Source organism: Homo sapiens, chromosome 20, assembly GCF_000001405.40.
Source record: "Homo sapiens chromosome 20, GRCh38.p14 Primary Assembly".
Classification (NCBI taxonomy): Eukaryota; Metazoa; Chordata; class Mammalia; order Primates; family Hominidae; genus Homo; species Homo sapiens.
Genome location: NC_000020.11, coordinates 42,425,120 through 42,449,533, shown reverse-complemented (window position 1 = coordinate 42,449,533; position 24,414 = coordinate 42,425,120). Strand labels below are relative to the sequence as shown.

Genomic DNA, 24,414 nt, shown 5'->3' with positions numbered 1-24,414 from the left:
GTAGGTAAAATTCTAGTCCAAGAGTAAGTGCTTTTATAATACCAAAATATAAATAGATTTGGCAACAATTTACTGAAATTCATTATTTCTAAGGGGTTACAGCAGAAAGTTTGGGGAATAATTTGTTTTCTGGCTCACCGTCTTCCAGACTGTTGTAAGAATAGTGAAATCCAGCAGGAGGATGCTGGCAGGAAGACTGACCGGCTTATAGAAGGAGCCCCAGGAAAGGTTGCACTTATTAGTTCAAAATGCTGGCGTAGGTCATTCATTCACCTATTCATCCAACCAACAAATAGTTATTATGCATCTACTTCATGCCAGGCATTGGGACTCAACAACAAGTCAAGCTAGCTGCCTTCTTGGAGCAAGGCGAGCTTCTTCTAATTGGATTGGGGTTTCAAGCCACATAGTTCATGTTGGATTCAGGAATTAGTCAAGAAACTGATGAAGCACTCCTAAAGTTAGAGAAAACTTGGCAGAGTGAAGAAAATGATACTTGGTAAGATGATGGGAAGCTCACTTTGCATTTCTCAAATACAAATCCTAAAACAAGCTTGTCCAACCAGCAGCCCCTGGGCTGCATGCAGCCCAGGATGGCTTTGAATGTGGCCCAATACAAATTCATAAACTTTCTTACAACGTTATGAGATTTTTTTTTTGTAATTTTTTTTTTTTAGCTCATGAACTATCGTTCGTGTTAGTGTATTTTATGTGTGGCCTACAATAATAATTCTTCTTCCAATGTGGCCCAGGGAAGCCAAAAGATTAGACACCCCTGAAGCAAACACCTCATTTCAGATTCCCACCTCTGGCAGAACTGGAAACTGCTCATGTCCTTTCTGCCCTTATCCGGTTCAGTTCATAAACCGACTTGCTCAGTCTGCAGATGAAAAGCCTGATCAGCCTTCTGAAAATGGGTTAGCAAACTATGGCCTGTGGGTCAAATCCAGCCCATTGCCTGTTTTCATAAATAAAGTTTTATTGGAACGCCACCGTACTCATTCATTTATGGATTATCTATAGTCATTTTTGTGCTAAAATGACAGAGTTGAGTAGTTGTAACAGAGAACGTACAGCCCATCAGACCTAAAATATTTACTATCTGGTTCTTTACAGCAACTTTGTCAACCCCTGTTCTAGGTCAGCGGGGCTGGAGAAATGATGTGGAAGGTGACATCAAGTTCATAACTTTTCCATTCTGTAGTTCCAGGAGCTGTTCCTCTAGAATCCATCCAAGGGGGGCCCTTTGAGGAGAAGATCTACATCCAGTGGAAACCTCCCAATGAGACCAATGGGGTCATCACGCTCTACGAGGTAAGGAGGTCCCTTGTGCTGCATCCATTGGCTTAGCTTTATTCAAGTCACTTCAGCCTGACATTGGTGAATACCCATTCTGCTGAACGTATAAAGGTGAGTAAGATGAGACATACCAAAAGGTTTCTGACAGTACAATGGGGTGCAAACATAATGGCACACAGTGGAGCTGTCCTGGTAGCCCCAAGAACAAAGAAATTTGTACACATCATGCATTGAAGTGACTATGGTGACAACTGACCTCATCCACAAAAGAGCCAAAACCCAGGGAGTCAGATTGTTCTTATGTGGAAGAGAAGGCCCAGGCCTGGCAAACAGTACTGAAAGTTCGTCTGGGAAACTGCAATACCCACATGATGCTCACTTTACGAATATCAGTCTCTTTGCTTTGAAAAGAATCCCAATGTTATTCTCTGCACCAGGGACACAGGATTCTTCAGATTTAAATTGCTCTGTGCCCAAGGCATATTTTGTCACCCAGGTGATGGCATCCAAAGCCCCCATTCCAAGCATTAGCTGGGCCTTACCATATCAGAGATGAACCAGAACCTACTCAAGCAGGAATGTACCCATCAAGCCAACACAATGTGCCTTCCAGAAAAGTTGCAAAAATAAGACAAACTGTATGAAAGTTTATTGCAAAACAAAACAAAAAAATCTCCAACAGAGCTGATATAGCTAAGATTCAAGTATTGCAATACGAGTAAGGTTGAGTCTCCTCCCACCCCTTGTATTCTTACACAACATAAGATTACAATACTAGATCAAGTGGAAACACACAGGAATGCAGAGGGAAGGGCATGGATACCGAAGCTGGAATGATGTAGCCTAGTGTCCTAGTAGCTCCACCTTTTCCTGAGTTACCTTTGGTAGATTCCTCCTCTCTTTAAGCCTCATTTTTCTCACCTGTAAAATAAAGGTGGTAATCACTTCTTCAGGGTTTCTCTAGGGAATCTGACGAGGGGGAAAGACACAAGCATCCCAGACTGAAACATGTACCACAGGCCCACGAAGAGGCTTAAGTCACTGAGAGCTCATGCAGAAACATGCATGTATAGGGAGTGGGCTTGGGGGAAGAATATTGCTGCCATAAGGAAAGGTGAGCTCTGGGGAGGAAAGTCAAGGAGTATTTGATGAAGGAAAAGTACTCAAGATTAATCTAACAGACCGATAACCTCTCTAGAGAGTCACAGGTGGTCCTGAGAACTCTCTGAGGGAGAAGATTATCCAACATGTACAAGGTGCTTAAGAAAACACCTTATCTCACTAAAACTAGCATTCCTCAGGAGAGCTAACATCTCCCTCTTAGAAGTTGCAGGGAGCTTGGCGCAGCTCTCAGGATTACCAGATGGAAGGAGGAAACAGACATCCATCCCCATCACTTATGAGTTTTCTCAGGCCACACGCTTGGGAGAAGCTTTCTTCCTGGGGAGTACCCCGAGAGGAGGGCAGGTACTCATACTAATACACCTTGCCTAGCACATTTTCAAAACTTCTTTGGGAAAGAGAGGTTCGAAAATTTAACTGAAACAAAATCCAGTCACTTCAAATCTACATGTTCTTTGTAAAGCAGAAACCACAATCTCTCTCTCTCTCTCACACACACACACACACACACACACACACACACACACACACATTTACATGAAATAAAGATGTGTTGTGCCTGGCAAACTTTTCTTTGTAAAGCAGAAGGAAAGGACCCATGATTTAGGAAGTTAAGTTACTTGATACTGTTATGTAAAAGACGCTGTGTGCCAGATGTTCAAGACTTTTGGAATTCACAGGCCAGTAGCATTTAAAAAGGCTTGGGGGACTAACCTAGGGTACTTCAACATCTTTTATTTACATCGTTTTATAAAAGACATAATTCCAAAAATATAGAAAGGATATAATTTCAGAATAAAAGTCCATCCTTCAAATTGAATAAATTTATGATTTTTTACTAACTCATGACAGTCACATTATTTTTTCTAATTTTGCACTGGATTGATGGCAACTTTGTCATGGAAAAGCCCTGGTCCTTGTACATACCTGCATTTGGAAACTACTACTGTAGGGCTATGTTGCAGGTGGAGTCATATCTCTGCACATATTATTCCTTGAGAGTAATATACTTTTTCCTCTAGTAGGATGATGCATTAGATTGGATCCTTGAGAGTAATACACTTTTTCCTCTAGTAGAATGATGCATTAGACTGGATGAGAAATATCATGATTAAAATTCCATGACAAGAAGAAAGAAACAGAGGGAGAGCAAGGGTCTAAACACAACTGTGAGTTAGACTCTGTGTTTGAGTAGAACCTCCTGCAATTGAGGCATTATTATATAGTGCACTCTCTGAAGCCCCATGCACAAAGGTGGGTACAGATTAGAGCAGGTTGTCCTTCTCACTTCTGTGTGAATCTGATGCCTTGTGGATTTTCAGAGACCAGATGCCAGGGATGTTGGCATTCCCATGGATTCTATGGGAGACAACTATGATGAAAGACATCTTCAGGTAGCTTCTTCGCTGTGACTTGGGCTATAATTTGCAGAGAACCGGAACCAGAGTATTGTAACTGGTTGAGTTGTTTGTAAGCATTTGAGGCTACTTTTGCGGAATATGCCAAAATTATTGAGGGATGCTGTAAAGACAGCTAAGGAGGTTGTAGATTTAGGCCATTGTATTGTGAGCATAAACATGAGTGTAATCTTGTGTATCAAAAGCTAGTGAGGCCTAAGAAAATAAGGATGGTGACATTTGAGCCTATATAGCCTAGATCTGAATCCCAGCTCTGACATTTACTTGCTCTGTGACCTTGAGTACATCAAGTGGCCTCTCAGAACCTTAAGTCTTTTATCAGAAAAATCAAGGTAATAATAAAATGGCCTTATAGGATTACTCTGAAGATCTGATTAAATTAGGTTTTGTACAGTGTTTGGCATTTAGAAATAACATTATAAATGTTAGCTGTTATCATTACATAAAAATGAGGAAATTGAGTGCAGAGGGTTAAAATGAAAAGACCAAGTTCATATTACCCAGATGCCAAACCCAGGACTCCTAAATGCAGGTACAGATGTCTTGCCCCTTTCTGCAACTTAGCGTGGTCCATAGACCAGCGGCATTAGCATGACCTGGGAGCTAGTTAGAAATGTAGCAGCTCAGGCCTCTCCAGTTTAACAAGATCCTTGGGTGATTCCTATGGGTATTACGGTTTCAGAAGCACTGTTCTGGAAAATACTACTCTTGAGAAACTTTTGGCAATTGAGAGTATGTTCTCTTGAGTAGAGAGATGAGAAGTAACTGTTACTCTGGGCTCAACCCAATCCAGCCCCAGACAGTAAGCAAGAGACCTTGCTTTTAAAAACATTTATAACAAAGCATGTGTTTATGAGGCAATTTACAAATTTAATTAGATGAAACCAATTTGATTTTTAAAATTAGGTTCTAGTTGTAATTTCAAGAGAGAAATTCATAAATTACAAATTACCCTCTTTTGGCCTCAAAATAGAATATTTTATTACAAAGAAAAATAGGATAATGCAAATGGAAGAGAAATTCAGGATTGTCTGTGGCCTTCTATATACAACCTTGGCCTCAGCAAAGTTACAAGCAAAGAAAAAATAAGGGAGGGGAAGGAGGGAAGTTTCATTACTATAACTATGTTATTGTTAAATACAGCAGGTCCAAGTGGTTCAGATTAAATTTCCTTCTGCACAAGTCCAAGTCACAGCCTCTGAGTCCATCCTCAGACAATTCTGCCCCCCAAAATGTGAGTGGCTTTAAGTCCCATTCTGTCTCCAGTCTTCAGTCCTCTGTTTCTAATATGAAGGTGTCAGACTGTTCTTGGCTTCAACTGGGTAAGAATGAAGGGGAAAGTAAATCTATGTCAAACCCATGAAATCAAAAATTCTACCTCTTTTTGGAGTTGTTTAATTCTTGCCTATAAGCCAGCCAAAGTCTCTGAAGGTAAAGTAGTGAAGATGAAGACATATGAATAAAAACAGTGAGTGCAAAGGCCCTGAGGTGGAAATGACTTAGGCAAGTCTTAAAAATGTAGTAAAAAGGAGACCGGAGTGACTGGGGCCTCCTGAGCACAGAGGACAGTGATGAGACTGTGTGGGGGAAAGGGTGGGTAGGGCCAGGGATGGCAGGACTCCTAGAACTTGCATTTTATCCTGAAAGGAATGGAAAGCCCTAGGAGGGTTCTACACAGAGGAATGAAGGGATCCAATTTATATTCTTAAAAGGTCATCCAGCTGTTGTGTGGATAAGAGATGGTGGGCACACAAGCATCCTGGAAACATCTGGAAAATGCACCAGGAGGCAAGGACATTTCCATCATCTATGATATTAAGATGAACTATTTATTAAAAGACCTTATACCTGAGCAGAAGATGTGAAAGTGTTGTTACAGCTGCCTCTTTACTGCTGCTAGCCCAGCTTTGACACCCTCTTTTTAGTAATGAGTTATTATCTTGATGAGCACCCTGGAGCCATGGACCTTTAGATCCTGGGCCCACCTTCCCTGAAAGATGGGTGTCTCACCCTGACCCTATTACCACTCCAGGGCTATGAAACCGTCTCATTCTGCAGCAGCCTCAAACTCTCTCTCTGCCCACTGAAAGGGGAGCTCAGAATCCTCGTCAGAGCCCACTGGTTCCGGCCTCATCTGAGCTGCAACAGGAAGTATTAAGATGAATTAGACCATGGCCTCAGATCTTTGGGGATTTGCACTTTAGTGGGAGATGCAGAATGCAATTCTATGATCATTCCCCTAACAGAGTGACAGATCATGCACAGATAGAGGCAGCACCAACGGCCTTGTGTCCACAAACTAGCATCATTAACATCACTTGCAGGCATGTTAGAGATGCAGAATCGCAGGCCCCAGCCTGGACCCACTGAATCACAGTCTTCTTAACAAGATCCCCAGATAATTCATGTGTACATTAAAGCATAAAAAGCACTGGTTTAAGAAACATTCTCAAATCTCACAATTGTGATCAGCACAAGAGGGTGGTAGAGGTGGTAAGGGAATATCAACTGGTCTGGAAAGCTCTGCCTGATGAAAACATTGCAGTCATTGCATGAATAACGTGATCATTTAATGCAGTAAGGAATATTCCTGCTCACCTGACGTCTAAACAATATTTACATCAGGAATATGGAAATCATGACATCTGCATAGACTCTTCCAGAACCCTGCTTTTGGGTTTGATTAAGGCATCAGGGTTCCCTAATCAGGGTGTGGATGTGCAGAAGGGTGGTGTGGCCTCTCTCATTCTGACTCAGCTCTTGGGAACAACCACAACTCACCAAGAACACAGACCGTCGCAATTGCGGACAGGCACTTATAGCCAGAATGAGGTCACCAAGGGAAGCAATCCAACCAAACAGTTGTCTAAAAACCCTTCAATAAAATCATTCAGAGACAAGCTGTTCAGAGTTCATGGAAAACAGTAATCAATATGTGTTTCAATTCAATTAATTGTTCTCGTCTTCGTCCAAAAATAAAAATCACACAGTGTGAGGGAATTGGGCCAGAAGATGTTACACTTGCAACTGGGTTAACGAAGTGTGAAAATATTTAAAATTCAGACATATGAAGCCTCCCAGTAAGCCTTTCTGTTTAGCAGTCAAAATCACCAAGTTTCTAATTACAGTGTATAAATCTGAGAAGCTTAAAGGGAATGAGAAGACCCTAATGAGGCAGGAATGGGTGTCTTGATTATGCTAGAGTTGATTGGCATTTATCTCACAAGCTATTCTAGGTGCCTGGCATTCAGAGTTAAATAAAACAGACTTCGCTTCAATAAAACAAGGCGGCATTCCTGTATGGGAGCGCCTTTAAAAGGTACAATAGGTCAGAGGGTTTGTCAATATTTTTTTCAGCACACAGATGGTTGGATTCAATCTGAACAAAAAGCACGGGCCCCAGGAATCAACAAGCCATCAGAGTGCATTACAAGGAGGCTGGAGCGTCTTCCGAGACAGGAGTTCTGAACAGAACGAAAGCCTGAACACAGACATTGATGGAGAGAGGGGACCAGCTGGGTGGATAAGCTCACGAGGAAACTCTTTAAGACAGAGGCCCAGAGAAGGTTCCTGGCTCTGTCTGGATGGATGAGCATGCCTCCTCCCATCCCTCAGCTTTGCTGCACTGACCACTCAGGGCTCACTGACCCCAGACTGGCTCATGACTCTGGTCCACAGAGGAGCAGTGTGGAGAATGGGATGTGTTCCAGATGGGCAGGAGGTAGTCTAGGCAGGAGGAAATCAGCTGGATTGTGACTAATACAGCCCAAAGCAAAAATTTGCATAATTCAAACTGGATCTACGTTAATTAGGACACATGATTTGCATAATGCAGGCCGCTATTGAGTATAACTCGAGCCAGGCTGGTAACAAGGAAAAAAGCTCTTGTTTCCTCTAAATTGTTCAAGCCAGAAATGAGAGCGTCATCCGTTGCCCCCAGCAGCCACACAGCTAATCCGCCAGAAAGTTTGATTATTTCTCTTGCCAAAATAGACACAGGTCAGGCCGCATGGCACCATCTCTGCTGCCACATCCTGTTCTGAGCACCCCTCAGATGCTTGGAGCATTTCAGTTCCTCCCTGCCCACCCCCTTCCACACTTCACCTGTTCCATATGTCCACACTGCAGCCAGACAGAACATCTTAAGAGGTAAATCTGATCCTGTTCCTCGTCTGCTTTGGCTTCATCTTAACTTCGAGGCACTGAAGGATCTGGCACTGGCTGCCTCTCTATCTTCACCTGCCGCTCCTCTTCCCATTGCTTACTGCAGTCCAGCTTTAGCCTCCTGGCATTTCCCAAGCTCACCCAGTTCCTGGCAGCCCTCGCCACTCTGTGTCATTCCTTCTGCCTGTAATGCTCTTCACTCTACACTCGTCAGGGCTGGCTCCTTCCTCTTCTTCACCTCCAAGAGGCTTTTTCCCTCCACTGTCCACTTGATCTAAAACAGGTTCCCCTCTGTTTCCTCTCTTAACAACTTGCTTTCCTTCATACCATTTCCACAATCTGCACTTGTTTCATTTGTGTACTTTTGTATCACCCAGGCCCGCAACAGACTTGAACCCTCGTGAGGGTATGGGTCCTGTATTGGTGAATTTTATGTGTCAACTTGGCTGGACCACGGTTTGACAGATTGGTGGTCAAACCATAGTTTGGATGATTTTGTGAAGGTGTTTTTGGATGAGATTGACATTTACATGGGCGGACTTCGAGTAAAGCAGATTGCTCCCCATAACATAGGGGAGCTTCATCCCATATGATGGGCTTCATCCCATCAGCTGAAGGTCTGAATAGATCAGAAGACTGAGCTCTCCTGAGTAAGAGGGAATTCCCCAGCCGATGCCTTTCAGACTGGAACTGCAACATCAGCTTTCCCCAGTTCTCTAGCCTGACAGCATTTGGTCTTGACATAACTAATACAGGCCGGGCATGGTGGCTCACGCCTGTAATCCCAGCACTTTGGGAGGCCAAGGCGGGCGGATCATGAGGTCAGGAGATCGAGACCATCCTGGCTAACACGGTGAAACCCCGTCTCTACTAAAAGTACAAAAAATTAGCTGGGTGTGGTGGCGGGCACCTGTAGTCCCAGCTACTCGGGAGGCTGAGGCAGGAGAATGGCGTGAACCTGGGAGGCGGATCTTGCAGTGAGCCAAGATTGTGCCACTTCACTCCAGCCTGGGCAACAGAGCGAGACTCTGTCTAAAAAAAAAAAAAAAGAAAGAAACAACTAATATATGCTATATTTATTTTTGCCTTTCAGTGTGTCCTGAGGACCTAAAATAGTAGCTTTCACATAGTATGTACTCAATAAATATTCTTTGGATAAATGTATGGATTTGTGCTCTATCCTAGCAAGGGGCAATGATGATTATTTTTGTCTAACTAATTTAGCTGTTCTCAAGCTTGGCTGAAGATTAGAATCACACCTTGAGATACCTTCTGCTCAATTTTGCTGTGAAGCTAAAACTGATCTGAAAAAATAAAGTCTAGTTTGGCCTGGTGTGGTGGCTCACACCTGTAATCCCAGCACTGTGGGAGGCCGAGGTGGGTGAATCATGAGGTCAAGAGATTGAGACCGTCCTGGCCAAGATGGTGAAGCCCTGTCTCTACTAAAAATACAAAAATTAGCTGCTTGTGGTGGCGCATGCCTGTAGTCCCAGCTACTTGGGAGGCTGAGGCAGGAGAATCGCTTGAACTCAGGAGTCAGAGGTTGCAGTGAGTTGAGATCATGCCACTGCACTCCAGCCTGGCAACAGAGCGAGACTGTCTCAAAAACAAAACAAAAATAAACAAAAAATCCTACCTTGAGAGCTTGAAACAATGTATAGATAAATAAATAGGCGTCTAGTTACCTGAATGAATGCAGGGATGGATGGATGGGCCTTATTGCGGTCCAAATAAATCAGAATCTCTAGGGGAGGGGGCGCTATCCATATGCTGTATTTGTTTGTTGTTTTTAAGTTCCTTGAGAATTTCTTAAAAACATCCAGGGTTGGGAAGAAGCATTGCATGAATTGAATCCAGTCGGTCTCCTCTGATATGTAATCCTAGCTAAACACCTTCTAAATAAACCCAGTCTTGATCCTGGCTTAACCTATCTTCACTCTCACTCTGCCAGACTCCACCTCTATCTGATGTTACGCTACAGCCAACTCACTCATACACAGGCAGTTGCTAAGTGTTAATTTTTTTAAGGATTAAATTCAAGAAACATTGGTCTTTTTTCCCTCAAGGTTGCTAAACAGTGTGTGGAGTAATTGAAGAAACATAGGGAGGTATCGTTCTGTCAATATCCCTTTGCATGTTACTAATGGCATCTTGCAACTCTGATGCCAGAGCCCACCACAGACCTTCCCTTGCAAATCTTTTTCCCTCTCCTGAATAGTGGAAGTCAGTCCTGTTGTGGTTTTTTTTGTGAGATTAAAAAAGACATGTGCACACACAAAACAATAGATTTGCCCAGAGGCCTTCCCTAAATCTTAAAAGTCAGGGCCCTGGGATGTCTAGGAGCCATTTGTTCTAGTCCACAGCTCATCATTCAACCTCCATAAGATGTTTCCCCTCCAGAAACTTGAAAAATGCAGGCATCCCTGGTTAGATGCCATATACAGGTCATTCGGGCTGACAGGGAAGCTGACAGGTGTTTCAGTAGCAACAGCTCTGGTTGAAAAGAATGATTTCTGGCACTCAGAGTCTGGAAGGAAAAGAAGTTGCATTCTGATGTGAGTGACTTGCATTTATGTACCTGGTCGCATTAGAGCTGCTGGTCATCCACTTGTGGTATATTAGGATTGCCTCTGTATTTGCCTTGGGGTGTTTCTTCTTTTCTATTACGACACAGGTATTTGTGATGGAGCCAGGTAACTTGACAGTGGAAATCAACAGATGTGTAGCACTTGTTACCTAAGGATAGCAAACCATGTTGTCCTGCCAGTGAGGTTTTCACAGTAAACATTAATCATTCAGTTCAGCTGTGGAAAACAATAAAGGTTGCTGCATGAAAAATATTCCTGCACTGCGCACATGTGAATAAGTATGCTTGTCTTGGGGTGTGTGTATGAGCATATGTTTTTGTGAGTTTATGTAGTTCTACACTGTCACATGTATACACTCATATAATTGTATGTTTGGTGGCATGTCTGTGTGAAGCTTTCATCCTTTGATGTATCCATTTTTCCAGCTTCATCCTTAGGATTGTTCTATTTCATTGGAGAGTTAACTGACAGAGATATCAGAGACACAGGGCTATGTCTGTTTTCTCCTAAACTAGGGGGGCCTGTGATCACCTCATATCCGTGCCATGGTAACACCAGGGGAGAAACTTTCTTTCATTTCAGTGGGCTCCCAGCTGTTTAACATGAACGTCTGCCATAATTTGTCTCCAGAGTTTTGCTAAAGAAAAATGTTGGATTAAAACAAAAGTCTCCCGGTTAAATTGAATCCTATGCATCTACAGTTGTCCTAGGAGAGAGAAGGGAAGGAAATGAAGAGTGAGTTCTGCATTTGTCAGGGCGTGGGCTTTCTTCATGTTTCTTATCTGGGAGGGAAACTGCATTTTGCTGCACTGCGTGTGCACCCAGAGGCCTTTGTAGGGTGTCCTTCTGTGCACATGGCCACATGGCTAGAGATGGAACTTTCTCCCTGGCTGCTGTGGTCCTTTCAATAAACTGTGCCCAGAGGCAGCACTTAAGTTGTGAAGTGTCTCTTTAAACATCACAAGTTGTTCTCTTTTCATCTCGGATGTTTTACCGTGTTACCCCTGTTGGAATTCCGCCTAGGCTGGGCAATGCAGCATGAATTTGCTGCTTTTAACTGGCTCTTTCGCTTCTGTTTTGGTCAGAACAAAATGAAAAATGTTTGCATATTTTCATCTATCATCAGGACATTTGGAGCCTCTGTTCTGAAGTCTCTGGAGGCTGGAATTCCAATCTGTGATTTGTTGCTTGTCTTTTCATTAGCTCGGGAGCTAGCAGGTGGTTTTTCTCCCCTCACCTTAAGTCAATGGGCATTTTTTCTTTTGACTGCTTTTTCTTACTCTTTACCAAGAGAAAAGTAATTCCTTAAAACTGACACCCAAGTATGAGATCTTGGTCTACCTCATTATGGTTTCAATACATACATACATACGTACATACATACATACATACCATGTCTCCAGGGTCCTTCAAGATGGCATAAAGAAAATTCACTGCTTTCTTGTTCTGTTTTATTTTATGCACGTTTTTAACGTGTGTATCGCTGCACGTCAAATAGTGGGTTGTGCAAACAGTAAATTTAAGATTGACCTTTGGTTAGTCATTGCAGAGTGTACTTGAACTAGTTGGCTTCTTTCCCAACCTGGGCCTCAGTTTCCACATTTGTGGCTTAGGAGGCTTGGACCAGGGAGATTCAAAAAGCTCTTTCTGCTATGAACTATCACTTGGGTGCCCAAAATGAGATTAATCTCACTCCTAGTTTCATGAAACTGTTTCTGTATTGGTCTGTGCATGGGTCTCTTTTCTTTTTATTTACTCATTAATTTTTCAGTAACACACCAACTAAAAGACAACCAGAATGCTGACAACACCTAACATTTACTTATGATCTACATAAGCACATCTGTTTCTACTCACTTACGTCTCCCCATCCCATCTTCCTGACCCCTCCACTCTTCTAAATCTTGTATATAATTCCTGTATATTTTATATAGTTTTGCTACTTGTGTGAATTCCTTATAAGCATATTGTTTTTTAGTGTTTTAACTTTTAATAAAGGATTTTAAGTTGTGTATAAGCTTTTGGGACGTTTTTATTCCATATTGTATTGCAAATGTTCATCCCCACGGATGAGTGCAGCTGTAGTCCATTCATCTTGACTGCTGTCTACTACTCCACTGCACGAAGATACTACAAAACTTTCACTCATGATCCTTTCATAAACATTGGGGTTGCTTTCAGAATGTTGCCTTTATCAGCAGTGATGAAATGAGCATCCTTGTGCCTACCTTCTCCTGTATATGTGCAAGATTTTCTCCTGAATTTCTATCTAGAAACTAGGTCAGATGGTAAATGAATGTTAAGTTTTACAAAAATACTCCAAACTCTTTCCCAAACTGGTTGCACTAATTTACACTCATGCCAGCAAATTATGAGTGCCTATGATTTCAAACCCTCTCCAACATTTGGTGTTGTCAAGATTCTTCATTTTGACTAAATAGATATAAAATGGTATCTTGTTGTCTTGCTTTGTATTCCCTCTATTATTAATGAGGTAGAATATTGTATTTCATTTTCTGTGGGATATCTGTTCATGTCTTTTGCCTACTTTTCTACTGGGTTATATGCTCTTTTCTTTATTGATATGTAATAGTTTTATAATATACTTTTGATAATATTTTGCCAGTTACAAATGTAATTTGCTGTTTTTACTTCTTCTAAGGTATCTTTGAAAAACAAAAGTCCTTAATTATAGCCAATTTTATCACTTTGTTTATATAGTTAACACATTTTGTGTCCTTAAGAAATTCTTCCCTAAACCAAGGTGAGAAAGATGATTGCCTATATTTCTGCTAAAAGTTGCATAGTTTTGCTCCTGAAATTTAAGTTTTTGATCTATCTGCAATTAATTTTTGCATAGGGTGAGAGATGGAGTGAAAATTTTATTTTTTTATTACATTGATAAACACTTTATCCAAGTCCTTTTTACAGTCTCTCCTTCCCTGCTCTACCAGGCCATATCTGACTTATGCCAAAATTTCTTATATGCATGAATTTTTTTCTGAGCTCTCTATTCCACTGGCCTCCATGCACTGTAACCATGCATAGTCATATTTATTACAGCTTCACAGTGTCCTGATCTCTGGTAGAGAAGATTCCTCCTCCTCATACTTGTTCAGCAATATCTTGGTTATTCTTGCCCTTGGCTCTTTCATTTTAGTATCTACTTATCAAGTTTAATGAAAACATCTGTTGTTTTTATTAGAATTGCCTTGAATGTATAGAACAATATGTGGGTAATTGACATTTTATGATATTCAATCTCTGTATATTTATTTAGGTTTTCTTTAATATCTCTCATAGTTTTATTACCTTAATTTTAGAGCTATTGCATTTCACATAAAATCCAAACTGCTACCTTAGGTCTGAAAGACTTGCACCTCCCATTCTCTTTTTCCCTCTGGTCTCACTGGCCTTCTTTTACTGTGCTCTAGCATGCTAGGGGCCCCTGTCTCAGGCTTATTGCACGCAGAGTTCCTATTGCCAGAAAGCTCTTTCACTTCCTCTTCCATGGCCAACTCATTCTCCTACTACAGGTATTGATGTGAATGCTACCACCTCAGAAGGGCCCTGCCTAATAGCCTTCAGGTAGGGCTTTGCCCACTCACCACTGTCTCTACCATTGCTTCCCATTTTTGGATAACATGGACCACAGTTCACAATTATTTTTTATTTCTTTATAAATGTCTAGCCTTATATTGTAAGTGCCAAGGGATACACACATTTATAAACAAAGGGACTCACAATATAGGGATACACATGTACAAGCAAGTATGTGCATATAAATACACACACACACACTCCTATATATATACATAGCTCATCTCTGGAAAGAACTCAGTACCTTACCTAGTACCTGGAACACAATAGGGTCTCAAATTTGGTGGTGCTTTTTTTCTTTTCTTTTTGTTTTCTTTTCTTTTTAAAATTTTCTCTTTTTTTTGTTGTTTTTGTTTTTTGTTTTTTGTTTTTTCCTTTGAGATGGATTCTCACTCTGTCACCCAGGCTAGAGTGCAGTGATGCAATCTCAACTTACTGCAACCTCCACATCCTAGGTTCAAGAGATTCTTATGCCTCAGCCTCCTGAGTAGCTGGAATTACATGCACATGCCACCATGCTTGGCTATTTTTTTTTTAATTTTTAATAGAGACGGGGTTTCACCTTGTTGGCCAGGCTGATCTCGGACTCCTGACCTCAAGTGATCCACATGCCTCAGCCTCCCAAAGTGCTGGGATTACAGGCATGAGCCGCGGTGCCTGGCCTCTTTTTTTTTTTTTTTCTTATGAAGATGGGATGGGCTTTTCTTATGAAGATGAGATCCCTTTGAAGGCGTAGGTAGAGTAACAGAAGTATCTCTTAGCATCCATTAGTCCATATATATGACCTTATAGGACCATCCAAAATCATAAGATTATGTCCCAAGTCTTATAATAATCTCTAATAGACTATATGAGGTTCCAGTGACCAGTGAGTTTATACTTAACTCATAGAATTAATTTGCTAAAGTATAAACTTGTTAAGGTTAAAGATCTGTATTCACAGGTATATCCCCGGTGCCTAGAACAGATCCTGGCACAAAATAGGGTTCAATAAATATTTGTTTAATAAATAAAAATGCATTCCAAACTTGAGTCAAGGTTAAGGCAACAGGCGTAAGAGATATTCAAATATCGACATCGCTATGATGGCTTGATTTTTAAAATAATTTAGTTTTCATTAAATGTTAGTGACAATATAACAATAGTATATAGTGTTAGAAAAATAGGGAGTGGAAATAACACACTAGCCATCTTCATGTGGGTTTATTTTCTTTCTAGTTCTTGTGCATTTGCAACAGCTTTGACGTGGTTATGGTGACTTTTTTTTTTTAATTTTCACTATGCCCAACATATTCTCATTTCTGTGTAATCTATTTATTCCATTTAATGGCTCTCCATTCCCTGAACATATGGACCGTATTTACTTTCAAATCACTTTATTCGGGATGTGTTGATTGATCTTACTAGAATGTTAGATATAATTTTGGGGGTATGATAAGAGTGAACTGGATCTTTTTAAGCAGCTGGTTAGGAGAGTTTGAATTTCTGCTTTCCTTTTCCCTCTCAATAGATTTTTCAGTAGCAGGCAGTGGCATTCACATGCGTTCCATTGATTGTAGAACTGTGGTCTAAATAATAGCTCACTATGTTCAGTAGACATGGATCTAATGGAGGAGAGTCAAACAATACATACACATTTGGATGGGATCCATAAACTCGAGGTTAGAAGTGGTGGTCCTGTTTTCCTCCTTGTTTTAAAACTTGAATTTCAGTTTGCTTATTTCCTAGCAGAGGGAGATGAATATAGGGCAAGTGTGTGCCCTGACTCCTCCCTAATACCATTCCCATGATGGACATCAATAATCAATCAGGGCATGCTCTTCCACTGCACTCCAACATGGCCTCAGAATCCCTTTCATCATGGCACAGCACTGCAGCTGGTCATTTCCAACAGAATGGGGTTAGCCTGCAAGGTATACCCTGCCTGCTGTCTCTGGCCTCTTCTCAGAAGGTTGATAGGGGGATAGGTGAAGCTCTGCCCTCACTCATTGGTTCATCCTACAGAATCTGTCTTTATGGTAATTAGGTAATTTCTGGATTTCTTTTTTTTTCTGCAGTATAAGCATGTTGCAGTTTCCAATCCTTTTCACAACAGTTGTAATCCTAGTGGACTGTGTTGCAGTATCTGCAGGGACGTCAGCATTATGGGCCAACAAGAAGATAAAGCAGATGGTGTGAGGTTCTGGGGAAACTTCCCACACACTGTATCCCCCATCGGCAGCTGGGTTTCCATTTGCCAGTAGATTAAAGCAAAGTCCAGACATGTCCGTGTCAGAGTCCCACCCATCTCATGACTGAACTCAACATGGTGAGTCAAAAGTGTTAACAGAAAAGCCAAACTTTGCAAAATCTTTTAAAAAGGTTTATTCTGAGCCAGTATGAGTGATCATGGCCTGGGAAAACAGTCTCAAGAGATCCTGAGAAAGTGTGCCCAAGATAGTCGGATTATAGTTTTAGGGTGGCAAGATTTACAGGCAAAGACATAAATCAGTGCATGGAAGGTATATATTAGTTTGGCCCCAAATGACGAGATATCCTGAAGTGAGGGCTTATATGTTATAGGTGGATTCAGAGATTTTTAAATTTGTAATTGGTTAAAGGAGTAAGGCTCTGTCTAAAACTTGGAATCAGCAGAAAGGAATGTTTTCAGTTAAGATAAAGATGCTATGTAGCTGGATTGATGGCCTGCAGCTGTGACTTAACCCTTGCTTTGCATGACTTTAGGCCTTGTTCATAATTTGGTTTTGTATTGCCACAAAGAGTCTGTTTTAAAATTAATGCTGGTCAATTGTGCCTAAAATCCAAAAGGGAGGGAATGTAGTAACGTGTGATTTCCTTTCCCCCATGGCCAAGAATTCCGGTTTTCAGGTTTCTCTGGGGTCCCCTTGGCCAAGAAGGCGTCCGTTCAGTTGGTTGGGAGCTTAGGATTTTACGTTTAGTTTACAAAAGTACCAAAGATATTGGAAGTGAAAACAAGCAGTGGTCTCAGGTCTCTGAGGATCAGCCTAGTGACAGCAAGACCCTAGCCTGTGTGTGGAGGTGCAGAGAATGTGTCAAGACTCTTGCAAGCAGGTTTGATTCAGCAGCCTCCCAGGAAGGGCTATGTTAGGCAGACTGGTGCCATAGGCTCCTGGGTATCAAGTCCTAAGTGAGGCTTAGACTGCGATTATCTAGGAAGACATGGGGAAGGTGGGAACTGAGGATGGCTTGGGCGTCTCCCTTCTCTCATAGCTGTTTTGTCTCTTAACAAGATAGAGTTAGTTCTACTCTCTCCTCATCCTATGAGCCATGCCCCTGAAGACTAGCCCTTCACTCCCAGCAGCAGCCATGCTGTCAGTTGCAATGCCTAAAGGCCCTGTGTGTCCGTTCCCACCTACTGTATAAATGTTCTATCTGCTGTTGTGAGAGGCAGTTCTTTTTGATGATGCTTACCTGTGTTACCACTTGGATAAAGAGACCAGAGCTATAGAAGCCTTCCTGAAAATGATGCCAGAGGTGAGAGAGTCTATGTTAGAGCAAGTCATCTAGAGAGTCTTCATGACTGAAGGGCAGAACCACAGGAAGATAAGGCCAGGTGCAGAGGTCTCAAGATTTTGTAGGAAATCCCGTTAAGGATCTTGTATGTACAATAGGCTCTCTGCTCTCCCCACCAACAAATGCATTCTGTTATCTTAGCCTTTCTTGGCCAATTTTTATAACAATATTATAGAATGTTTGGATATCAGAGAAAAAGATCACCTATAATCTCTTCTACCACAGTGCTAATTTTGCCTTGTATTTTATCTTTGTTAATATGCACACATCTTTTACCTAACTATAATTACATAAAATTTGCTATTGTAATTTTTCATTAACTGTTTAATCACAATCATGATGCCTTTATAGAACCATGGAAATAGTTCATCTTTTTTAATGATGGCATAATTGTCCATTAGTGTATATACCGTAATTTTCTTATCCATCCCTTTATTTTTTATATATTTGATAACACTATGATAAACTTCATGTTTATGGTGGCATTGCATCATGGTGGAAAGAACATGACCTTCAGATCTGGTTGACCTGGATTCAAATCCTAGATCTAACGTTGCCTAGGTGGCTGACTTTTGGGCAAATTAACCTCTGAAATTGAATGATCTTATTGGTTTAATAAAATTGTGTGTAGGAGAAGCAATATTAAGCCTACAATTCAGGAATATTATAAGAATTCAAAATGTATTGTAGTCCTAGCTGTCCAGTATCCATTCAATGTCAAAGTTCGTTTTCTTCCTCCTCTGTTTAGAGTATTTGTGTATTAGACACTCCCACCCCCACCGCACACACGAACATGAAATTACTGGGTTGAATGGAATGAATACTTTTGTAACTCTTGCTACATATTGCCAAATTGCACTGCACATAGATCTCACCTGTGTGAGTGTGTGTTTTAAGTATTGTGTTGAGTTTTTATGCCAGTCATCATGTCTGGGAAGAAGGCCTTTGGCAGCCCACCAGAGATTTATGTCAGCTTTCATGATACTCTCAGAGCAGGCTGATGTGTGAAAAGCGTATCATGCATGTTGGCAGATCCATTTGCACTCTCCAAGGACTTGCTGGAGACACTCTTGCCTCATCAATTCCTGTTCACTCCCTTTCCCCTTTGCCCTTCAATAGCAAGTAGATTGCCTGGTCCCCAGTCATCTCCCAGAGGGTCCTGGAAGCCCCATGGGAACTCTGAATTGAAGGACTCGCAGCCAGGTTTCTACAGTTCCTGCCACCAACTTTATGATACATCACCAGCCATGCCCTTCCACAGCCTCTGTTAGCCTACCTGCAGAAGAAGAGGTTGAAGCAGTTGGGCCTCTCAAGCTGAACCTCTCTGTGTTCTTCTGTTATCAGCATCCCCTGGGAGCTTTTTAGGAAAGTGCTATCTCTGTCCCCACCCCAGGTCTTCTGAGTCAGGGTCTGCACTGTTACAAGATCCCCAGGTTGTCACTGTGCACGTTGAAGTTCAGCACGTACAGTACTGAGTTGTCTGCAGGCCAAGCATTTTCCATCATGCCAGGAACATTTACTGGAGCCTCAGTTTTGGAACCAGTCTTTCCCTGAACCATGCTCTTGCTACGTCAGGATTTCCTCACCCTGCTGTGAAATTCCTCCCCTTGCCCAGTTATATCTGTGGACCGTGGACCCTGGACCGTGGACCGTGGGGACCTTGCTCATGGGTTAGAATCAGAGAAACCAACACTTCCCTCCCTGAAGAGACCAAAATCATTTTGCTAAAATACAGATTATACAGACACTGTACCATTTAAAATCCTTATAAATCCCAACAGCTCTGAGGATAAAACCTAACCTCCTCTTTAACTTGGCCAACAGTTTCCTCCATGAGTGACTCAGCCCTTGCGGGCTTGCCCAGTTCCCTCTCCTGCTTTTCCATCCCCACTCCCAAATGCACAGACTTTACATTACAGCCACACTACACTCCCCTTGCTATCTTTTCCCTCTTCCTCCTTTCTTGCATCCTCAGCACCCTGCTCAAGGGTTCTTTGGGGCATATTTTGACCCTCGGCACCTGGATGAGGGCTTCCTACTTGTTAGTTTATAATAGAATTTATTCCCCCATACTGTGATTGTGGATTTCTACATCTGTCTACAACTTGGCTCAGAATTCTTAGACTTCCTGGCATAGGATAGGTCATCCATGAATGGCAGTGGTGCTGCTACCTGCCCTTCCTTCCTTCATGTCTTCCCTCCACCTTTCTCTGCCTGTGCCCTGGCACAGGAGATTGAGTCTCAGACATCACTGTGTTGCCTTGCCTTCTGTTCATCTGAAAGAGCGCCTTGCAGGGGATGAGGAGAGAGGGAGGAGACCAAGGGAAGGGTGTTGACTGCTGCAGCTTTCTCCCCTCCAGAAAGGTCACAGCTCCTCCCAAGGTGACCTTTCAGGTTCTAGGACCTGCTCCCTCCTCCACCCCTCCCACTCTCGCTTACTTAGTTCACTCCTCCACGATACCTCTGCCCCGATTCTCTCAACCGGCTCACAGGGTTGTAAATAGTGCCTTTAGTCAACTCTGCTTGAATTATCTGTCTATTTCCTGCTCGAATCCCATGGAGACCCCATTATCTTTACCATGTATCACTGAGAGTGCTTATCATCATGCATTTTGTCTCAGCCCTTCAAGGTAAGGATCACTATCCCCATTTAATACTGAGCCTTAGAAGAAGGAAGTTACTTGCCTGAGATGACCTGACTACTAAACAAAACCTAGATTCCTACTAAGTGTGAATACAAAGCTTGCCCACTTAACTAGTTAGCCACAGTGCCTTTTCCAAAGGCACTCAATAAATGATGGTGAAATTAACCTGAATTTCCCAATCATGATCAATCCACTTGATTAGGGTGGCCATAAGCTTGCAGATGTAGGGTGGGGAGGAGTAAAGGCGCAGTTTTGGAATGAAGAGGGTGACTGAGGTCTGGATCTAGCCTTGGCTTGGAAACCATGTAGTCTACATGGTGTCCCCCAAGCTTGAATTGCCAAATCCTTGAGGAGGGGTGCCCTGTCAGTATTGGATGAACAAGGCTTGTGTAGGGAAATGAGTGGGAAAAAACAAATGGGATGAGTTGAGTTTCATGCCCACAATGGAGGTGACTTCATCGTCATGATTGTATTTGCAAATTCCATTCAACCTGAACATTCCTGCAACTGAGTAGACATATTCAGAGCCCATCCTTCCCCTCCTGTGAAGCTGAGTGGCATGCTTGACCTGATGGCTTTGGGAGGGCTCTGACACAAATAGGCACTGTCTGGTGTGTCAACATCAAAGGAAAATTGCAAAAGGCAAGTTGGGCTAATATTTTTCATTACTGGAAAAAAGTTTCCCATACCAAGTCAATTTTGAAAAAAGAATTTCGTCTCTTACATCTGCACAGAAATGTCAAAATGGACAGGGCTGTCTGTAAACAAGAACCATGGCAGTTCATGAAGTTTCTCACTTTCAAATTAATAATTATTTAAAAAGAAAAATGAAAAGAAACCTAACCTGGGCCACCAGGATGACTGCTTCTATAACCTCAATGTTGATGGGTGAACCCAGTGACTGTAAGTGGTAGTATGGTCAAGGTAGCATTTCTCCAACTGTAATCTATGGAACCCTTTGGCATGAGGTGTCCACACATTTATGCCTGGGGGTGGCCATAGTCTGAATGTTGGTGTTTCCCCAAAATTCTTATGATAAAACCTAATTCCCAATGTAGTGGTTTTCATGTGCGTCCGTGTGAGGAGACCACCAAACAGGCTTTGTGTGAGCAACATGGCTGTTTATTTCACCTGGGTGCAGGAGGGCTGAGTCCCAAAAGAGAGTCAGAGAAGGGAGATAGGGGTGGGGCCATTTTATAGGATTTGGGAAGGTAATGGAAAATTACAGTCAAAGGGGGTTGTTCTCTCGTGGGCAGGAGTGGATCTCACAAAGTACATTCTCAAGGCTGGGGAGAATTACAAAGAACCTTCTTAAGGGTGGGGGAGATTATAAAGTACATTGATCAGTTAGGGTGGGGCAGGAACAAATCACAATGGTGGAATGTCATCAGTTAAGGCTGTTTTTACTTCTTTTGTGGATCTTCAGTTACTTCAGGCCATCTGGATGTATACGTGCAAGTCACAGGGGATGCGATGGCCTGGCCTGGGCTCAGAGGCCTGACAGTGGTATTAAGAGGTGAGACCTTTGGGAGATGATAAAATGCTTGGATGTTTGGGAGGAGTCTGCCCTTATTAATGGGATTAGTGCTCTTATGAAAGATGCTGGAGGGAGCTTGTTCACCCCTTCTGCCACGTTAAGACACAGCTAGAAGGCGCCATCGATGAAGAACAAAACCTCACTAGACACTGAATCTGCAGGCACCTTGATCGTGGATTTCCCAACCTCAATTGTGAGCAATAAATTGCTGTTGTTTATAAGTTACCCAGTCTGTGGTAATTTGTTATAGCAGCCCAAACTAAGACAGATTTTATAAGTTTTACAGGTTTGCAGGCTAACAAGTTTTTAAGTTTGAGAAACACTTAAAAGGATGAAAGACCTTCCCTTTTTGTGTATTCTTTAACTCCCATGGTACTTCTTAACCTCAGTAAAGTATTGCCATGCAGTAGGTGCCAAATAGACTGTTACAGAAAGAAAAGAATGGGGGAGAAGAGGAGGGATGGATTTTACTTTCTAAATCAATGGCTTTCAAATCTGACTGAGCTTTCAAAGCTCTGGAGGCTTAAAAGACAGGCAGATCCAAATTCTTCTAAAAGCTACTGAATCAGAAACTTCAGGGGTGGGGCCAGGAAATATTTATAAATGGAGCCCAGAGGAGTCTCTTGTGCCACCATGTTTGACAGCTACTGTGGCAAATCTGTCTGCACTGACCTCTGCCCTCCTACCTTTGCCCTGGTTGGGATCTCAAATTCTCAGGACTCCTGCATCCATCACCTGCTGGCTTCCCCTGGTCCTTTCTCCAAGATCCACCCTCCACATCAGCCATCTGACCAACCTATTGAAACAAGAGGGTTCCCTGACCCCCCTTGCAGGACACACAACAGGGGTGTGACTCATCCGTTCAGCCACTGTGCACATTCAAACCCCTTACGGGAGGGGGAGCTCACAGACAGGCAGGTGCAGGAGCTCGGGCTAGCACTTTTGGGCTCTGGCCCCACAGCAGCATCCAGGGGTGGGTGTCTGCAACTCCCAAAACCTCAGTGGGCATGCTACAGTGCTCTTTTAGCTCTGCCATCTGCAGACGGCTTAAGTGTTAACCAATTCAGTGTCCTCTTAGTACCTGGGTTCTTGTCCAGTGTCCAGGAAGAATCAGTTCACACATGGACTTGAAGGATGGTAAATGTGGGGGTCTTATTGTATGGTGGAGGTGGCTCTCAGCAGGTTGGATGGGGAGGTGGAAAGGGGATGGAGTGGGAAGATGACCTTCCCCTGGATTTTGGTCATCCAGCAGCCGGTTTCCTCTCTGAACATCCCCAGCTGAACTCCTCTTGATGTTTGGATGCTCCTTCTCTTCTCTCCTCTGCCATGCCATTCTGTTACTCTTCTTCTCTTCTGTTTGTCTGCTTGTGGAGCCCGGGGTTTGGGTTTTATATGGGTACAGGATAGGGGAGTGTGGTGAGCCAAAAGGCCACATTTGGGCATGAAAAGAGGAATGCCTGTTCCCATTTAGGGCTGTGGGTTTCCAGGCTTGAGGGTGGGGGTTTTGCCAGGGAACCCTCTTCTACCCAGTATTTCCCTGACTCCTATCCGTATCACTATGAAACACACAGACAACTTTCACGAACCATACAGCTCTTTAATCCAGCATTTGGGTACCCCTGGACTCCTCATGACCTCTTTAGCTTGCTTTCTGATCATCTGCTTTTTCCACCTCTATGTTCTGGCAGCACCAAACTGCTTATTGGCAGCCCCTTCCAGAAGCTCCTCTTTACCTTTGTACTTCTTTGCACATTGATAACGCTGATTTGCCTTCAAGGCCTCCCTCTCTCATCCACTGGCTGTTTGCTGGGATAATGTCTGCTTGCCTCAATCATCTCAGTCATTACCTCTCTTTTACCCCAGCTTTATTGAAGTGTACTTGACAAATAAAAATTGTATCTGTTTAGGGTGTGCAACATATGTATACGTTGTGAAGTGATTACCACAATCAATCTAATTAACATATCCATCTCCTCACATAGTTATGATGTTGTTCATGGTGAGAGGACTTAAAATAAGCTCTCTTAGCAAATTTCAAGTATAGAATACAATATTATCAACTATGGTCACCATGCTGTAGATTAGATCCCCAGAACTTATTCATCTTGCATAACTGAACCTTTGCATCCATTGACCAAGATCTCCCCATTTTCTTCACCCCCTAGTTTGGAGGACATTATGATGAGTGAAATAAGCCAGGTATGGAAAGACAAATATTGCATGATTTCACTTACATTTGGAACTTAAAAATTCAAACTTATAAGTCACCGAGTAGAATGGGCATTACCTCTTTTCAAAGAGACTTCATCTCACCTCCTCTAACTGGTTTATGCACCCCCCTCATGTAACATTCTGGAGTATTTTTGTCATTGCAATGACTGCATTGCGTTATAGTAATCTTTGTGTGGGTTTGCTTGTGTGCATCTCACGCTCCAGGCAAGGATTTTGTCTTGTTCATCAATGTTTCCCAGACATCTAGAAGAGTACCTAGCAGAGAGTGGATGCAT

At 42.5% G+C, this 24,414-nt stretch overlaps 1 protein-coding gene across 11 annotated transcripts in view; it reads left to right on the top strand.

The window, feature by feature from the left end:
• The window catches only part of PTPRT (protein tyrosine phosphatase receptor type T), a 1,158,017-nt gene that overhangs the window by 740,373 nt on the left and 393,230 nt on the right, over positions 1–24,414 (top strand). For all 11 annotated transcript variants that reach the window (XM_047439848.1, NM_001394024.1, NM_007050.6 and 8 more), the window contains exon 9: positions 1,205–1,314. In XM_047439848.1, coding sequence (XP_047295804.1) covers positions 1,205–1,314 — 110 coding nt within the window. The remainder of the gene's footprint in view (positions 1–1,204; positions 1,315–24,414) is intronic.